Genomic DNA, 14,061 nt, shown 5'->3' with positions numbered 1-14,061 from the left:
CTTAGGAAAGGGAGGCTCAGCAAGGTGGTGAGCTGCCCAAGGCTACATGCTAGCACACTGTGAACTCATATCTCTCTCAGCCCACAGCCTGGGTCGCGCCAGTGAACAACAAACCACTGCCCCCAGGAGCTTTGTCCCAGACAGCAGGTGAGACCAAAGCCCACAGGGCCCAGCCCAACTGCTTCACAAGCTGTGCAAGACCCCAGGCCGCCTGCTCAGGTTCAAGATCAACTAGGAAAACACTCTGTGATCCCCAGGCTGAAGAGCACCTGGGGGCCATTCCACTGTCTCGCCTGAAGGTCAGGAGCAAGCCTACCAGGCCATCAGCTGCCTCAGGTCCCACAGGTACCTTATCCACCTGCAAGGTCCCTGCTGGAGACAGGCAGCACCTTGTAGGTGACAGGTTTTCAATTCGTAAAAATCACAAAACTGGAATATCCCCAGGAAGTGTGGCAAACATTGGGGCAGGAGATCAACACCTGATGACAGGAAGGGCTGTGAGGCCGCCCTGCCCTTACCGTACTGACCGGAGCTGATGGCGATCTCAATGATGGAGTCGCTAATGTGTGTGGCAGGCTCGCCCTGTGACAGCGCATCCTCAGGTGGGCCGGGCAGGGAGATGTCGAGCAGAGCAGAGACGTCTGGTGGAGACAGCCGGGTGCTGGAGCTCTCTGACGAGGACAGCGGTATGGAGAGGCCATTCTGGAGAGGGGCCTTGGGCAGCTCAGATAAGGAGAGAACAGATGAGCCCTGCTGGGAGACAGGTATTTTTCAGACACAACCAGGTCTATCAGAACCCATGACAAGGGAAGAAACACCAGCTTACTCTCCTAGCTTGCAGGCAAATCAATAGGGTGATGAGCGCTGCAGTCACCTCATCCTTCCAACTCAGGAACACACTCGGGGAATTTATTTCTCCCAAAAACACTCACTATGGCAGAGTCAGAAAGTCAGGCTGCAGTGGCCTGGACCTGCTTTGACTGCTGCCAGAAAGAGAGTGGGGGCTGGGGGAGTTACTAGCTGACAGCCTCCTCCTCCCAGAAAGCTGAGTTCTTCCAGAGCGCTAAGTTCTTCCAGAGCTGGGTCTGAAACAGCCCACCTTGGAGAGGGGAGGAGGGAAGTCTGAGGTGGCGGACAGCCATATTCATTTATCCACCCTGGGCAGTCGGCACAGCAGGTGGAAGAACAGCAAAGCCACTGCACAGTCTAGGAGAGAAGCCGGGCCACTCCAAGACTGCAGGTGGCAGCTCAGGGCACTGGAGGGAGTCCTGGGGCAGCTGCTTTGCTCAGCAGCCCAAGAGCACACTCTACCTGGAAACTGTCTGCCACTGGCTCCTGCTCAGGCCTCGAAGGGATGCTGACAAATGGGTCGGAGCCCTGCAGGAAGAGCACGCCCATGAGCAGCCGCAGGGTGCACCAGATGCCACCCATACCCTCACCCGCGACAGAGTTCCAGAAAAAGAGGCGTTCCATCCCCCTGGCCTCCTAACAGCAGAGGGACAGTAAATGGACAGGGGTCTAAGGTCGAGAACACTGAAAGGCTACTTTCAGGTGTGGACCGTGTACTTCCAATTTTTTGTTGCTTCCAAGAGTGAAGTAAAGTCCTATCAGGAAGTCAACCTTGTGGCAGGCAGGGCTGGGCTCCCTGGAGTCTTAACAGCATCAGCCCACCCCACCCTCCTTGGGGCAGCTCTGAAGTGGCCGTGGGAGGCCAGAGAAACCAGGTGCTCAGAGCCTTGGAAAGGAGCAATGGCCAAGGCCATACAGGCTGCTCTCTTCCCAGATGAAAGAGATGCTCAGTGGTGTCCGAGCACAGCGCTGTGGGCTGCCACCTTGGTTATGGTCACTCTCAGATGGAGCTATGTTTCCACACCGTCTTAGCTCTGAGTTCTCCAGTGCCACATGGCAAGCCTGTCCCCACCTTTCGTCAGTGGCTCCGGAGGCCTCTCCTGCTCTGTACTACACAGAGTTTGCTTATGCCATGGCACCCCTGGTCCAGAGACTCTCCTCCAAAGGCAGAGCTGGAGTCCAGCGTGATCTCAGCCCCATGGCTTTGGCGTCCACACCAGAAGTTGGTGGTAATGCTGAAAAGCCCTTCTAAACATACTCACCCCCACGGTGGGGAGGGTGTCTCCATCCTGGTGAGTTCCAGTAGAGTCCTGCCCCGAGATGGCACCCGTCACCTCGTCTGAAGACAGTGGAGAGATGCCAGACAAGCCCTCGGTGTCCAAGGCAGGGAGGGGGTTCCCGGAAAGGATGCCGGCACTTGTAGCTGCTAAGTCGATAGCACCTGGCAACAAAAAGGACGCTGCACATCTCTGCTCTACTGACAACCCATAAGATGTCCCAAGAGGGCTCGGGGAACAGCTTCTCCCTCGCACCTCATGTCAATGCAAGAGCCAAGGGCTTAGATGTTCTTGGTGAAGGGTAATGAGACATTATGATTTGGAGAAGAAAACATTCAAAAAACCTGGTCACAAAAACATCCCTCAGAGGCTCACTCAGTGGCTGTGGCCATGCAGGTACAGACTTACTGGCCAGGTGACTCGTGGCCTGGGGTGGAAGGACCTTGGGCACGATCGGCCGAGACAGAGCTGCTTTGGTCAGAGAAGACTGGATGGGCCGGAACGAACCTCTCCCTGCGAGGGCGAGGGCAAAAGCAGACATGTCGAGCCCGCCCGCCATGCCCTCACAGCAGGATGTGGCCGCAGGGGGCTTCCTTTACAGCCACTGTTGGGAGTGTGGGAGCCGAGCCAAGCTGGAAGCCACTGAACATTCCAAATGCTAACATGAGGAGTCAGAGGTCACACAGGCCCCCAACGTGACACAAGCTCTGGCACCCACCACTGTGCCTCCCAGGAGCTACTGGAAGGCTGCGGTCACCACTGTCATCCTGCGGAAATGGCTCTTGAAGGGTGACAAGCCCCCAAGCTGAGGTACAGGCCCCAGGGCAGTCAGAGCATCAGATTCTGGACTAAGATGCTGCCACTGCAATTTGGTTTTATCTTGCCAGGCTTCCCACAGTTGAAAATTGACAAGTAGGCAAGAGAAAAAGCAATTGACAGCTGTTAAGGGTCTTGCAATAAGTCAGTGAGAGACGTGGAAGTCAACACTGGTAGAAAAGGGAAGTCACAGAGTATGTGTTTCACTAGAGGCTTCTCCCTGTGTAATATCTACCGCAAGGAGCCAAGGCCCCCACTAAATGTACAGACTGATGGAAGCATAATCCATACACCCCAAGAACACATCCATCCCATAAAACGGCTGACAAGACATTACACAGAGAGAGCAGACAAGAGACACAACTCTAACCAAGCCAAGCGCCTCACACAGGGCCATCTGAGGCCACAGACGAAGGGCACCCTTTGGACTAGCTGCCTCGCTGGACTAGCTGCCTCGCCCGCCACCGCAGCCTGCAGCCCAGCACATAGGGCACATTAGGTATTTGTCGGTAGAATGGACAAAGGAATGCCTGAAGATAGGCCATGGAAATAAGCACCCATTGTCTCCAAAGCCAAGGCCCTCCTGTGAGGAGGAGGGACAAGCTACCCCAGAAAAGCTCAGGGTCCTTACCAGTTACGGAAGAGTTAGACAGGATGGAGAAGGAACAAACGTTGTGGGACTGGTTTTCCGATGGTCTAGGGAGCAGTGTTCTCTGTGGGGAAAATGGTCAACAATCAAGGTGATGAAACTCCCATACCAAAAAATCACTCCCAGTTACAAAGGAATGTCCCAAGTAAGAGGGTGCCCAGCATAGCCAGGTGGGGCTTTTTCCAGAGCCGATGACACAGGGTACCTGGGACTGCTCAGACAGTTAGGACCCATGTACCCCAAGCTCCAGTTAGGTCCTCTCTCAAACAAACCCAGGTAATCAAACCCTCCCCAGGGAAACTGGAGGAATGTCAGAGTCATCCACTTTTTTTTTTTTTTTTTGAGACGGTGTCTTGCTCTGTCAGCCAGGCTAGAGTGCAGTGGTGCAATTTCGGCTCACTGAAACCTCTGCCTCCTGGGTTCAAGTGATTCTCCTGCCTCAGCCTCCCGAGTAGCTGGGATTATAGGCACTCGCCATCACGCCCAGCTAGTTTTTGTATTTTTAGTAGAGACGGGGTTTCTCCACGTTGGCCAGGCTGGTCTTGAACTCCTGACCTCAGGTGATCCACCTGCCTCGGCCTCCCAAAGTGCTGGGATTACAGGTGCGAGCCACCGTGCCTGGCCTGATCCACTTTTAATCCAGAACTTTCTTCTGGATTTGACTGGAATGCAACTAGTTATACAAACCTGTTTATAACCACTGGACATGGACTTTTAGGAGTGACACCTCCCATTCTGGGCTTCCTCACACATGGGGTGAGTAAAATAAAGTCACTGCTTGTAACACACAGGCACCAAAGGGCATGAAGTGCTCCTTTCCAGGGCTTTTGTGTGTGAACAATTAGGCTGAATGTGCTACGGCAGGTTTGAGTGACAAGGACTACCATCTGAGAAACCGTGTTCATCACTGAAACTGCTAGTAATCCAGATAAAACATGAACAAAAAAGTGTCTCTCGACCTACAAGTGTCTGAGGCGCTTCCGCCTCTGGGGGTGCCGCTGCAGTTCTGACCCTTTGAAATGCCCCAGGACACTGGCGTCGGAGAGACTAGAGAGGAGGCACTACTAGGGACAGCAGTAGGCTGCAGCCTAGTAGCGGGAGCTTTCACTCCAAAGGCTACACTTTTTGTAGCAGAGATTGACACACTTTTTCTGTAAAGGGCCAGGCAGGAAATATTTTAGGTTTTGGGGCCATATACCTGCCCGTGTGGAAAACAGTAGATAGTACAGAAATGAATAATCACGGCTGTGTGCCAGTAAACTTTATTTACAAAAATATTATGTGGAAAAGAACACAAATTGTATGATCCCATTTATAGGAAATGCCCAGAACAGACAAATCCATAGAGACAGAAAGCGGATCCGTGGTTGCCAAGGGCTGGCGGGAGAAGGCAACGTGAGTTCATAGGAGCAGGGTTTCCTTTCTGGGTGGTAACGTTCTGGGATTAGACCATGGTGATGGTCGTCGTACACCTTGTGACCACTGAGTCATAAAGTTCAAATGGGCAAACATTATGATATGTGAATTCTCTATCTATAAAGTTGTTTTAAATTAAACAAAACAACAGTCAGGCTGGAAGTGGTCCCTGGGCCATAGTTTTCAACCCTGATCTTAGTTTGAACAAAGAACACCTAAGATTTAGCAGGCACTTTCTTCCTAAGACCGTTCATGCAATGTCTCATTTGTAAATATACTAATCTCAAGGGAGAAAGAGATTTCTAAGAGTCTAACAAAAGGAAACCTGTGCATGAATCCAAAATAACACACATCCATACATTTCTGAGGCCATAATTACCTCAGACTTCCCACCTCACTTTCTGTATTTTTATGCGTCAGAATGCCAAGCTCTTCTTCTGAGGTGCCTCTGAGTCCCTGGCTGTCCCCCAGGCTTGCATACGGCATCCTCGGGGACTCCTGGGGAGCTCATGAGAGGCCTGGGCTCTGGCTGACCCACATGCCCTGGCAACTGCTCCCACAGACTAAATGTTTATAAATAGGTGTTGAGATTCCATAAATACATCCCAATCTGGGACATTCTTTGGACTTGAATCCCTATAATTGTCTTTTTTGCAAGTGGATTTCCATGTTATTGAAAGATTACCTTTACTTCTGGGTACCATTAAGTTCACTGTTATTACTTGTATTTTTACCCTACTCACAAGAGGGAAGGAAGGGGCAGGAATTTCCCACATTTTACACCATGAAAATGTGAGAGAGGGAAGAAGCCCTGTGTCCTGGTTGGCCCAGCCACGAGGCCACACGTTCAGACTTGAGAAGACCCTGACCTGGACCACCAGTGGCTTCCGCAGGTGCCGGTTCCGCAGCTTCCGGGGCTTTGGCAGGAAGAAATCCGACTGCATCTGTAAGGGAGCAGCGTCCGGCACCTGAAGGTGCACTCTCCAGACCACGGGGACGCTCGCACGCGGGCGGCCCGGCCCCACACACTCACACTGATGGAGTTCAGATGCTGGCGGAAAGTCAGCTCTGCTTCTTTACTGGGAGAGAAGAGCTTCCCGTGTCGGCTGTTGGGTGGCAAGGTTGTCGGGACAGCAAAAAGGCCTCCATCTGAGTCATTGCTTCCTGTGCTGGAGGGACCAGGCACCAAGAGGGGTCTTGGAGGGTTTCTCAAACCTGGGAGAGGAGAGGAGAGAATCAGTGTGACAGCATTCACCTAGCAACAGGTCCAGGGTCACGGAATTCCGTTGGGAAGAAAGTCAGAAAGACATTCTCTTGGCAACCCGTTCGGCTGCCTTGAAAGGAGACACCTCTATCTCAGTCCCACATAAAGACTGATTTTCTATCCTTCTCACTGAAATTCTTGTTCCCATTTTGAGCAGACCACTGGTCTCCTGGATAGGACAAAAGCACTTCACCACTTCGCTCAGTGCTCAGGGGTAAGGGCAGATAAGACACCAAAGATGTTCCAGGGCTAGAAGAGCCTTCAGTGTCTCCAGGGGAGACCAGAAGTCAGTCAACTTTCCTGGTGAAGGGCCAGAAAACCAATGTCCACTCTGTAGACCACACCGTCTCTGGGGCAACTCAGCCGTGCACAATAGCAACTACAGACAACAGGTGAGCAAATGAGTGTGGCTGTGTGCCAATAAAACTTTATTTATAAACAGCAGGCAGTGAGCTGGATCTGGGCTGCAGGCCTATAGCTTGCTGCTCCCTGGTGTAAATCTCTAGTTTTTAGAAAACAGACCCAGAGGTAAAAGAACAGGAAATATTTGAGAGTTAGTATTGTGGGACCCTGCTAAATGTTTTCATCACTGTCAGTGCTGCTGTAAATCACCCTGTGAATTCATGGTAGGCCAGCCTGGCCAACATAGCGAAACCCTGTCTCTACTGAAAACAAAAATTACCCGAGCATGGTGGCACATGCCTGTAATCCCAACTACTCGGGTGGCTGAGGCAGGAGACTCGCTTGAACCCAGGAGGTGGGGGTTGCAGTGAGCTGAGATCACGCCACTGCACTCCAGCCTGGGCGACAGAGCGAGACTCCATCTCAAAAAAAAAAAAAAAAAAAATTCTTTCATAGTAGGGACTGGCCCCCTCTCACAGGACCCCTCACCCGACCCCCTCCGTCACCCAGGAGGCCAGGACCCCTCACCCGGCCCCCTCCGTCACCCAGGAGGCCAGGACCCCTCACCCGGCCCCCTCCGTCACCCAGGAGGCCAGGACCCCTCACCCGGCCCCCTCCGTCACCCAGGAGGCCAGGACCCCTCACCCGGCCCCCTCCGTCACCCAGGAGGCCAGGACCCCTCACCCGGCCCCCTCCGTCACCCAGGAGGCCAGGACCTCTCACCCGGCCCCCTCTGTCACCCAGGCTGGAGTGCAGTGGCACAATCACGGCTCAGTGCGGCCTTGAACTCCTGGGTTCAAGTGATCCTCCCACCTCAGCCTCCCGAGTAGCTGGGACCACAGGTATGAGCCCCAACATTCAACTACTTTTTTTATTTTTATATTTTGTAGAGATGGGGTCTTGCTATGTTGCCCAGGCTGGCCTCAAGTGATCCTCTTGCCTTGGTTTCCCAAGGTGCTGGGATTATAGGCATGAGCCACTGTTCCGGGCCTTATTTTACGTTGAAAACTCATTGTTTTTTTTTGTTTTTGAGATGGAGTCTCGCTCCGTTGCCCGAGCTGGAGTGCAGTGGCGCGATCTTGGCTTATTGCAACCTCCGCCTTCCGGGTTCAAGTGATTCTCCTGCCTCAGCCTTCGGAGTAGCTGGGATTAACAGGCGCGCACCACCACGTCAGACTAGTTTTTTGTATTTTTAGTAGAGACAGGGTTTCGCCATGTTGGCCAGGCTGGTATGGAACTCCTGACCTCAGGTGATCCACCAGCCTTGGCCTCCCAAAGTGCTGGGATTACAGGCATCAGCCACTGTGCCCAGTCTAAAACTCACCATTTTTACACTTAAAAATTCACCATTCTAACCATGATAATCTCTGCTTTATTCTAAAAATACTATGGGTTGAAAGCCAGTGAAACTGATGCCTCGGGAAACTGTTCATGCTTGTCTTGGGGTTTTATGTACCAGGAACACAATTTATGATCCCTGAATTTAAATTATTTCCTATACGCAGCTGGGGTAGACTGTGGACTTGGAGATTGCTCCATCATTCTTTCCGGGACTTGTGTTAACCTACTGGCACCTCCCCTAACTGAAGGATTCTCTATTCTGAGGTTTTACATGTAAAGAAAAACAGAAAAAAAACAACCTTCTCAGGGACTTTGAACCACCAACTCAGCACATTAGCAAGGCTTTTGCTGGCCCCATGAAGCAGACCCCAAAGTCACCAGACTGGCAAAGGCTGGCTTCTCACCAGCTTCTACGCCCTGGGACCCCAAAGTCCTTCACGACAAGCCCTGGCATCACCCTCCCCATGAGGAGGCAGTGATTCTGCACCTTCACCCTGTCATCTGGATAGTGGCGAGCTGGCCAGTGGGGTCCGGCCTCAGGCACACCTGTGCTCTCAGCTTCGGCACGGCCCCTGAAGCCTGAGGTGCCATCAGGGCAGCCCAGGCACAAGGAGTGTGGCTGCCACAGCCTCACCTGAGGAGCAGGGTGCAGAGCTGGGCGGGAAGGTCTTGCTGCTGCGGAGGGAGGCCTGGTTCCGAGGGCAGCGGGGGCTGCGAGAGCTGACGGTCACCACCTTCCCTGGGGGCGTCATCGACTGCTCCTCCTGGGCGGGCCTTACTGAGGCTGTAGAGATGGTGTTTGCTTCCAGAGCCTAGGACAGAAATGGGCCAAACAATGTCCAAACTCAGCACATGAGAAATGGCTCTTGCGTGCCCTGGAGTAGGAGGCACAAGAAAATCATCGAGCTCAGAAAGCACAGTGTCATGACGGCAAAGGCCAGGGCCAGAGACGCCCAACCTCAGTGTCCCCAGAGTCGCTTGGCAGCTTGCCAGTTTTAAAAGTTACTGGTCGGCCAGGTGCGGTGGCTCACGCCTGTAATCCCAGCACTTTGGGAGGCCGAGACGAGCGGATCATGAGGTCAGGAGATCGAGACCATCCTGGCTAACACGGTGAAACGCTGTCTCTACTAAAAATACAAAAAATTAGCCGGGTGTGGTGGTGGGCGCCCGTAGTCTCAGCTACTCTGGAGGCTGAGGCAGAATGGTGTGAACCTGGGAGGTGGAGCTTGCAGTGGGCCGAGATCGCACCACTGCACTCCAGCCTGGACTACAGAGCAAGATTCCGTCTCAAAAAAAAAAGAAAAAAATCAATCAATCAATCAATCAATAAAAGTCACTGGTCAGGTAAGTAATGAAAACCACTCCCTTCCTCACAAGTACCTTTCCACGTGCTACGGGCAGAGGTGGGAGGGAGGGAACCAGCCCGAAGTGCCAGCACAGGCTGCAGGAAGAGGTGCCGGATGGCAAGTGACAAGTGTCAAGAGCTCAAAGCTATATTAAAAAGTCAACATGAGACTGCAGCAGCCTCTCTGCTTGTGAGTCAGAGGAAGGAAATATAGGCTGACTTTCTAGAATCAGACACAAGCACAGCTGAAGAGCACTCTGCAGGGATGAAGCCCAACTTTGGGGGTTGTGCAGGCCCACAGAGCCCAACCCCAGGGGATGTGCAGGCCCACGCCACAGCCTGCAGAGCCTGCTGCCGAGTCCTGGGGTCCCTGTCTGGCTCACCACAGAAACGCCACCACCGCTGGGAAGACTCGGCCAGCACCCCAGCCTCTCGGCTCTCTTCCTTCTCCTCACTCTCCTGAACACCCCACACATCCCACCCGGGGCAACCTCCCTATGGACTAAGAAGCCCTCCACCCCGTGCTCTCAGCACAGCCCTGCCCGTCTGCTCACTCAGAGCCTTCAGGCCCTAGCCCCATACTACAGGCTTTCCCCAGGACCCCTCCCACCTCATGACCCTTCCTATGCTACTCATTCCACCTGCGACAGCGGCTCAGCAGCCTCCGGCATCTCCTGATCTCTGGGGCTCGGGCCTTTTGGGGTGCTTGTCACAGCTCCACCAGGCAAGAGACAGCACAGGGCCACCTGGCCCCACACCTGAGCTGCATCAGGCACCTGTCTGTCTGTCTGTCCAGTCTGCCAGGCCCACCCCAAGTCAGCCTCCCTAACTAGCTCCCAGGGGATGGGGATGCCTTTCCATGTGGGATTCCTACCTGCTCTGTGTCCCAGAACTGCTGCCTGCCCTCTCAGGAGCCCACCCTGGCCCCTTCCCTGGGGCACCCAAACACAGGCGCCATGTCTCTCCTCAGCCCCTCCCATGAGCCCACCAAAAGCCAAACCTGAAAAGCCTTCTAAAGACACTGTCTTTCTGGTCCCCGCTTACTCACCCTGGTGTCCCTGCTATGCGACCCCCGAGCCACTTTCACCCTCAGGCTTGGCCTCAGAGGTGCCTGAGGGTTGGGCTCAGTCTCCACCACCCCTGGAAGAACTTTCTTTCCTCCAGCCCCCTTGATGCTCCCCAGGCAAATCTGCACATTCCTGCCACCTGCTGATGGACCAACTCTCCGGGGCAAGCCCTGCACCGGCTGGGGGTGGGAGCGGAAAAAAAGCGGGAGGCGTGGGGAATGCAGGCAGAAGTGAGCATCACTCAGAAGCTGTAAGACGGCCTGTGTGGAGCAGTGGGTGTGTGGGGGCTCGTGAGCGCCCGAGTCCCGAGTCCCCCCAGCACAGGGACATGTGAGCCTCACACACATTCTGACCATGAAACAGCGCTAAGGGGTCCACAGTGACCTGCAGCTCCTGCCCAGTCCATCCTTTGAGCCCCTCGCCCATGTCCAGCAGCTCGCCAGCCCCTAAACGTGCCATTTCAGGATGGACCTGCCGTGGGACCTTGCTCTCTTGCACCCAGAGATCCTATCGGACTTGGGGCTGTGGGGTAGGATTACTCCTGGCAGCAGTGCCTTCTGCACCCCATCTGTCGGCTCCACCAACTGGCCTCCCTGTGGTAAGGGACCCTTCCCTAGGCTCAGGGTCCACCCACACCCTGCAGGGACCGTCCTGTCTGGTCCCCAGCTCCACTATTCTGCTGCGGCACCGCATCCCTGCTCTTCTGTGACAGCCTCTGACTTTGCCACATCTGCACAGCAGCTGGGATGGTCTTTCCAGAGCAAGAACTACACCCATCGTTCCCTCTGTGGAAACCTGTTAACAGTGATTAGATAAGCCAGAAGGCTAGCTCGGCTCCAGGCCTCACTCTGTCACCCTGGGTCCTGTGCACACTGTCCCTTCAGCTGCATGATTGGGCTTGGCAGACTCCCAGGAACACGAGGCGGCTCACAAGGTACTGCCTGCCTGTTGGCCGTCTTCTTCCATGTCCCACACAGAAGGGAGCACCCAGGCCACTCATCACTGCACTTCTGGAACCGTGCACGTAAGTGGGGACACTCATCAAGTGCCCGAGGATCCCTCCTCGAGGGAGAGGAAAGTAGTCTGTGGAGAGCCTCTGTCTCCCGGACCATTTGGGTCCCTGCCTCTCCCACTTCCTTGAGGTCCTGAAGGCTCCTGGCCCCCTGCCACAGGACCCTGTCTCTCTCATCTGGACCCCAACCGTGCTGGCCCTAGCTACCCAGCAGGGAGCCCTCCAAGGCTGGGCCTGGCTTCCCTTGGGCCGCCAGAGGGGCTGGGCTCCAACCCACTCACCAGCTTGGGGTTGACCTCGGTGGAAATGAGCTTCAGGAGGCAGCTGAGGAGGCGCTGCTTGTGGAGGGCGGTGGGTAGGGAGCCGGGGCGGGGGTCCTGGCGGCCGGGCCCCAGCCAGTCGTACTCCAGCTGCAGCTTGCTGGGCTTGCCCATCATGAGGTAGACTTCGGCCAGCGTGAGGCTTTCGGAGGTCTGCAGGTTCCAGCCCTCCTCACGGAGCTGCTGAGCCAGCCGGCTGGCGGGGACCTCCTTCGGGGGCCTGGCGGCAGGCTGTCCCTGAGACGGCGGAGGCCCCGCGGGGCTCCCCTTCTCCTGGAGCTCCTCCGCAGGTGCATCTGCCAAGTCTTTAGTGCAAACATCCAGCAGGAGCCCGGGGCCGGGCCTCGGGGATGGGCCAGTGGGAGCAAGGTCAGCAGCCTCCTTGCTGACAGGAGCCAGCACCTCTGGGGAGGCCGCCCCGCCCAGAGGGGGCTGCTCGCTCCCAGGCCGTGTGTCCGCACAGCGGCACTGCTCGGGGACAATGAGGTCCTGACAGGACTTTAGGTAGCGGGGCAAGGGGTCTAGAAGCGAGAGCTCGTCCTCCAGGTCTGGGAGCTGGCCACAGGCACACGGCAAGGCCCCTGGCTCCCGGGTGGGACTGTCCCTGCCTTCTGCAGGGGTCTTCTCAAGACATGGCCCAGTGTCCTGGTGCCTGGGAGGAGGCCTGTCAGGAGCGTCCGGGCTGCTCAAGCTTAGGGCAGCCCCCTCCCCGGGGGCGCTTTCGGGGGAACTCTCTCCGGAGCTCTGCAAGGCGTCAGCCGCAGGAGGGGGCCGCCCCACACCCTTGCCCTCAGCTCCGCTCCGCGGGCATTTCACCTGGCCCCGGGCCGTGCCCTGCCCACTCTGGATGCCCAGGATCTGGGCTGGGGGCAGCACGTGGGCGTCCTTGGCACTCTGCTTGCACCGGCCGCCCTCCTGCCAGTGCACTGTGCAGAAGGCCTTGGAGTGCACCACGCGAGCCACGCCCGGCAGCGGTGTCAGTGTACAGTTCTCGCCTGGGAACAAGTGCAGTGTCACCTTCTCCTGCATCGGTGCGGAGCATGAGTCCTGCAGCTGCCGCTCCTCGAGTGTCTTCCGCTGAGTGCCCGTCAAGGAAGGCCCACACTGGCTAGCACTGAGGTCGGGATGCTGACCAGGCACATGGGTACAGACACGAGCCACGCTCCCCACTGGCATCCCCCAGGGTATAAATCATGCCACCACCCGTGGCTTTCCTCACACCACTACCCAACAATGCTGACCCGGGCACTTAGTACCTTCAGGAAATTCACACCTGACACGCACCACGCCTATGTGGGGAGCAGGCAGGGCCGGGAGCCAGCCATGGATGTGAAGAAGGCTGGGCTGACCCTTGGTCGTTTTGCTCAACCTGCTGGTAGGAATGCTTTGGCCACACCCCGTGGGCCAGACACAGGCCACTGACATCGTGGAGGGCTGGCTGTGACTGAGTTCTAGCACTGCAAGGCCACAGAGGGGGCTCCACACCCAGGGAATAAGGGGCTCCAGGTTATGGTTCCAGATGTACACCATGTCACAGCATGGCTGTTCTGCCCACGGGGACCATGACGATGACAGGCACAGGGAGGCGTGGTCCATCTCTGGGCAGCAGAGGCAGCGCAGCCTGGATGGTTTGCTTTAGCTGGAAAAGGATACAACTCGCACCTCATGGAGCGCCCACTTCTGCTTCAAGAATTCGATGAGGCTGGAGACCTTTCGATGTAGCTCCACGATCATCCTACGGAGACGACAGACAGGAGGAAGTGAGGTTCGCAGAACAGGAAGGAAACCATCTGAAGAGTCCCGAGGCTGCTTACAGCAGGAGGGTGCCAAAAGAGACAAGGGACCTCTGGAGAGGCACCCGGGAGCGGGCGTCTGCAGGGCCCTTGGCTCCTGTGGCTAAAAACCAGCCTTTCCAGCTGCGATGGCCAGAGATTCACACAGAGCTAAAGAAAACAACACAGAGATCCCAAGTATTCTTTGCCAGCAAAAGGTCTCCGCCAGGGCGTGGGCGTGGGTGCTGGCGCACAGCCTCTGCCTAGTCTACCAGCTCCTTCTGGCTTCAAGGGCGGGCGGGCCTGGACAGTGTTAATACATTCTGAGGGAGAAGTACATGAGCGGAAGGAATGAAGTACTGATGCGCTATGATGGGTGAACCTCAAAAGCATCACGCCCAGTGAAAGATGCCAGGCCCGGAGGCCTCTGCGTGTGATTCCGTTTCTATGAAACGTTCAGAGCAGGCAAGTCCACTGAGACACAAGGCGGACTGGGAGGTGCCGGCGGCCGTGGGAGGGTGAGAATGGAGA

General features: G+C 55.7%; 1 protein-coding gene across 1 annotated transcript in view; it reads right to left on the bottom strand.

The window, feature by feature from the left end:
• The window catches only part of CRAMP1 (cramped chromatin regulator 1), a 65,549-nt gene that overhangs the window by 9,197 nt on the left and 42,291 nt on the right, over positions 1-14,061 (bottom strand). Inside the window, exons 9-18 of the mRNA NM_020825.4 lie at positions 13,412-13,493; positions 11,720-12,835; positions 8,649-8,826; positions 6,041-6,222; positions 5,877-5,951; positions 3,574-3,655; positions 2,535-2,639; positions 2,112-2,290; positions 1,312-1,377; positions 519-750 (exon numbers count right to left, since the gene is read on the bottom strand). Of these exons, the coding sequence (NP_065876.3) occupies positions 519-750; positions 1,312-1,377; positions 2,112-2,290; positions 2,535-2,639; positions 3,574-3,655; positions 5,877-5,951; positions 6,041-6,222; positions 8,649-8,826; positions 11,720-12,835; positions 13,412-13,493 (2,297 nt within the window). The remainder of the gene's footprint in view (positions 1-518; positions 751-1,311; positions 1,378-2,111; positions 2,291-2,534; positions 2,640-3,573; positions 3,656-5,876; positions 5,952-6,040; positions 6,223-8,648; positions 8,827-11,719; positions 12,836-13,411; positions 13,494-14,061) is intronic.

Source organism: Homo sapiens, chromosome 16 (genome assembly GCF_000001405.40).
Source record: "Homo sapiens chromosome 16, GRCh38.p14 Primary Assembly".
Lineage (NCBI taxonomy): Eukaryota > Metazoa > Chordata > Mammalia > Primates > Hominidae > Homo > Homo sapiens.
The sequence above is the reverse complement of the archived record's forward strand: the minus strand, read 5'-3'. Positions and strand labels throughout refer to the sequence as shown.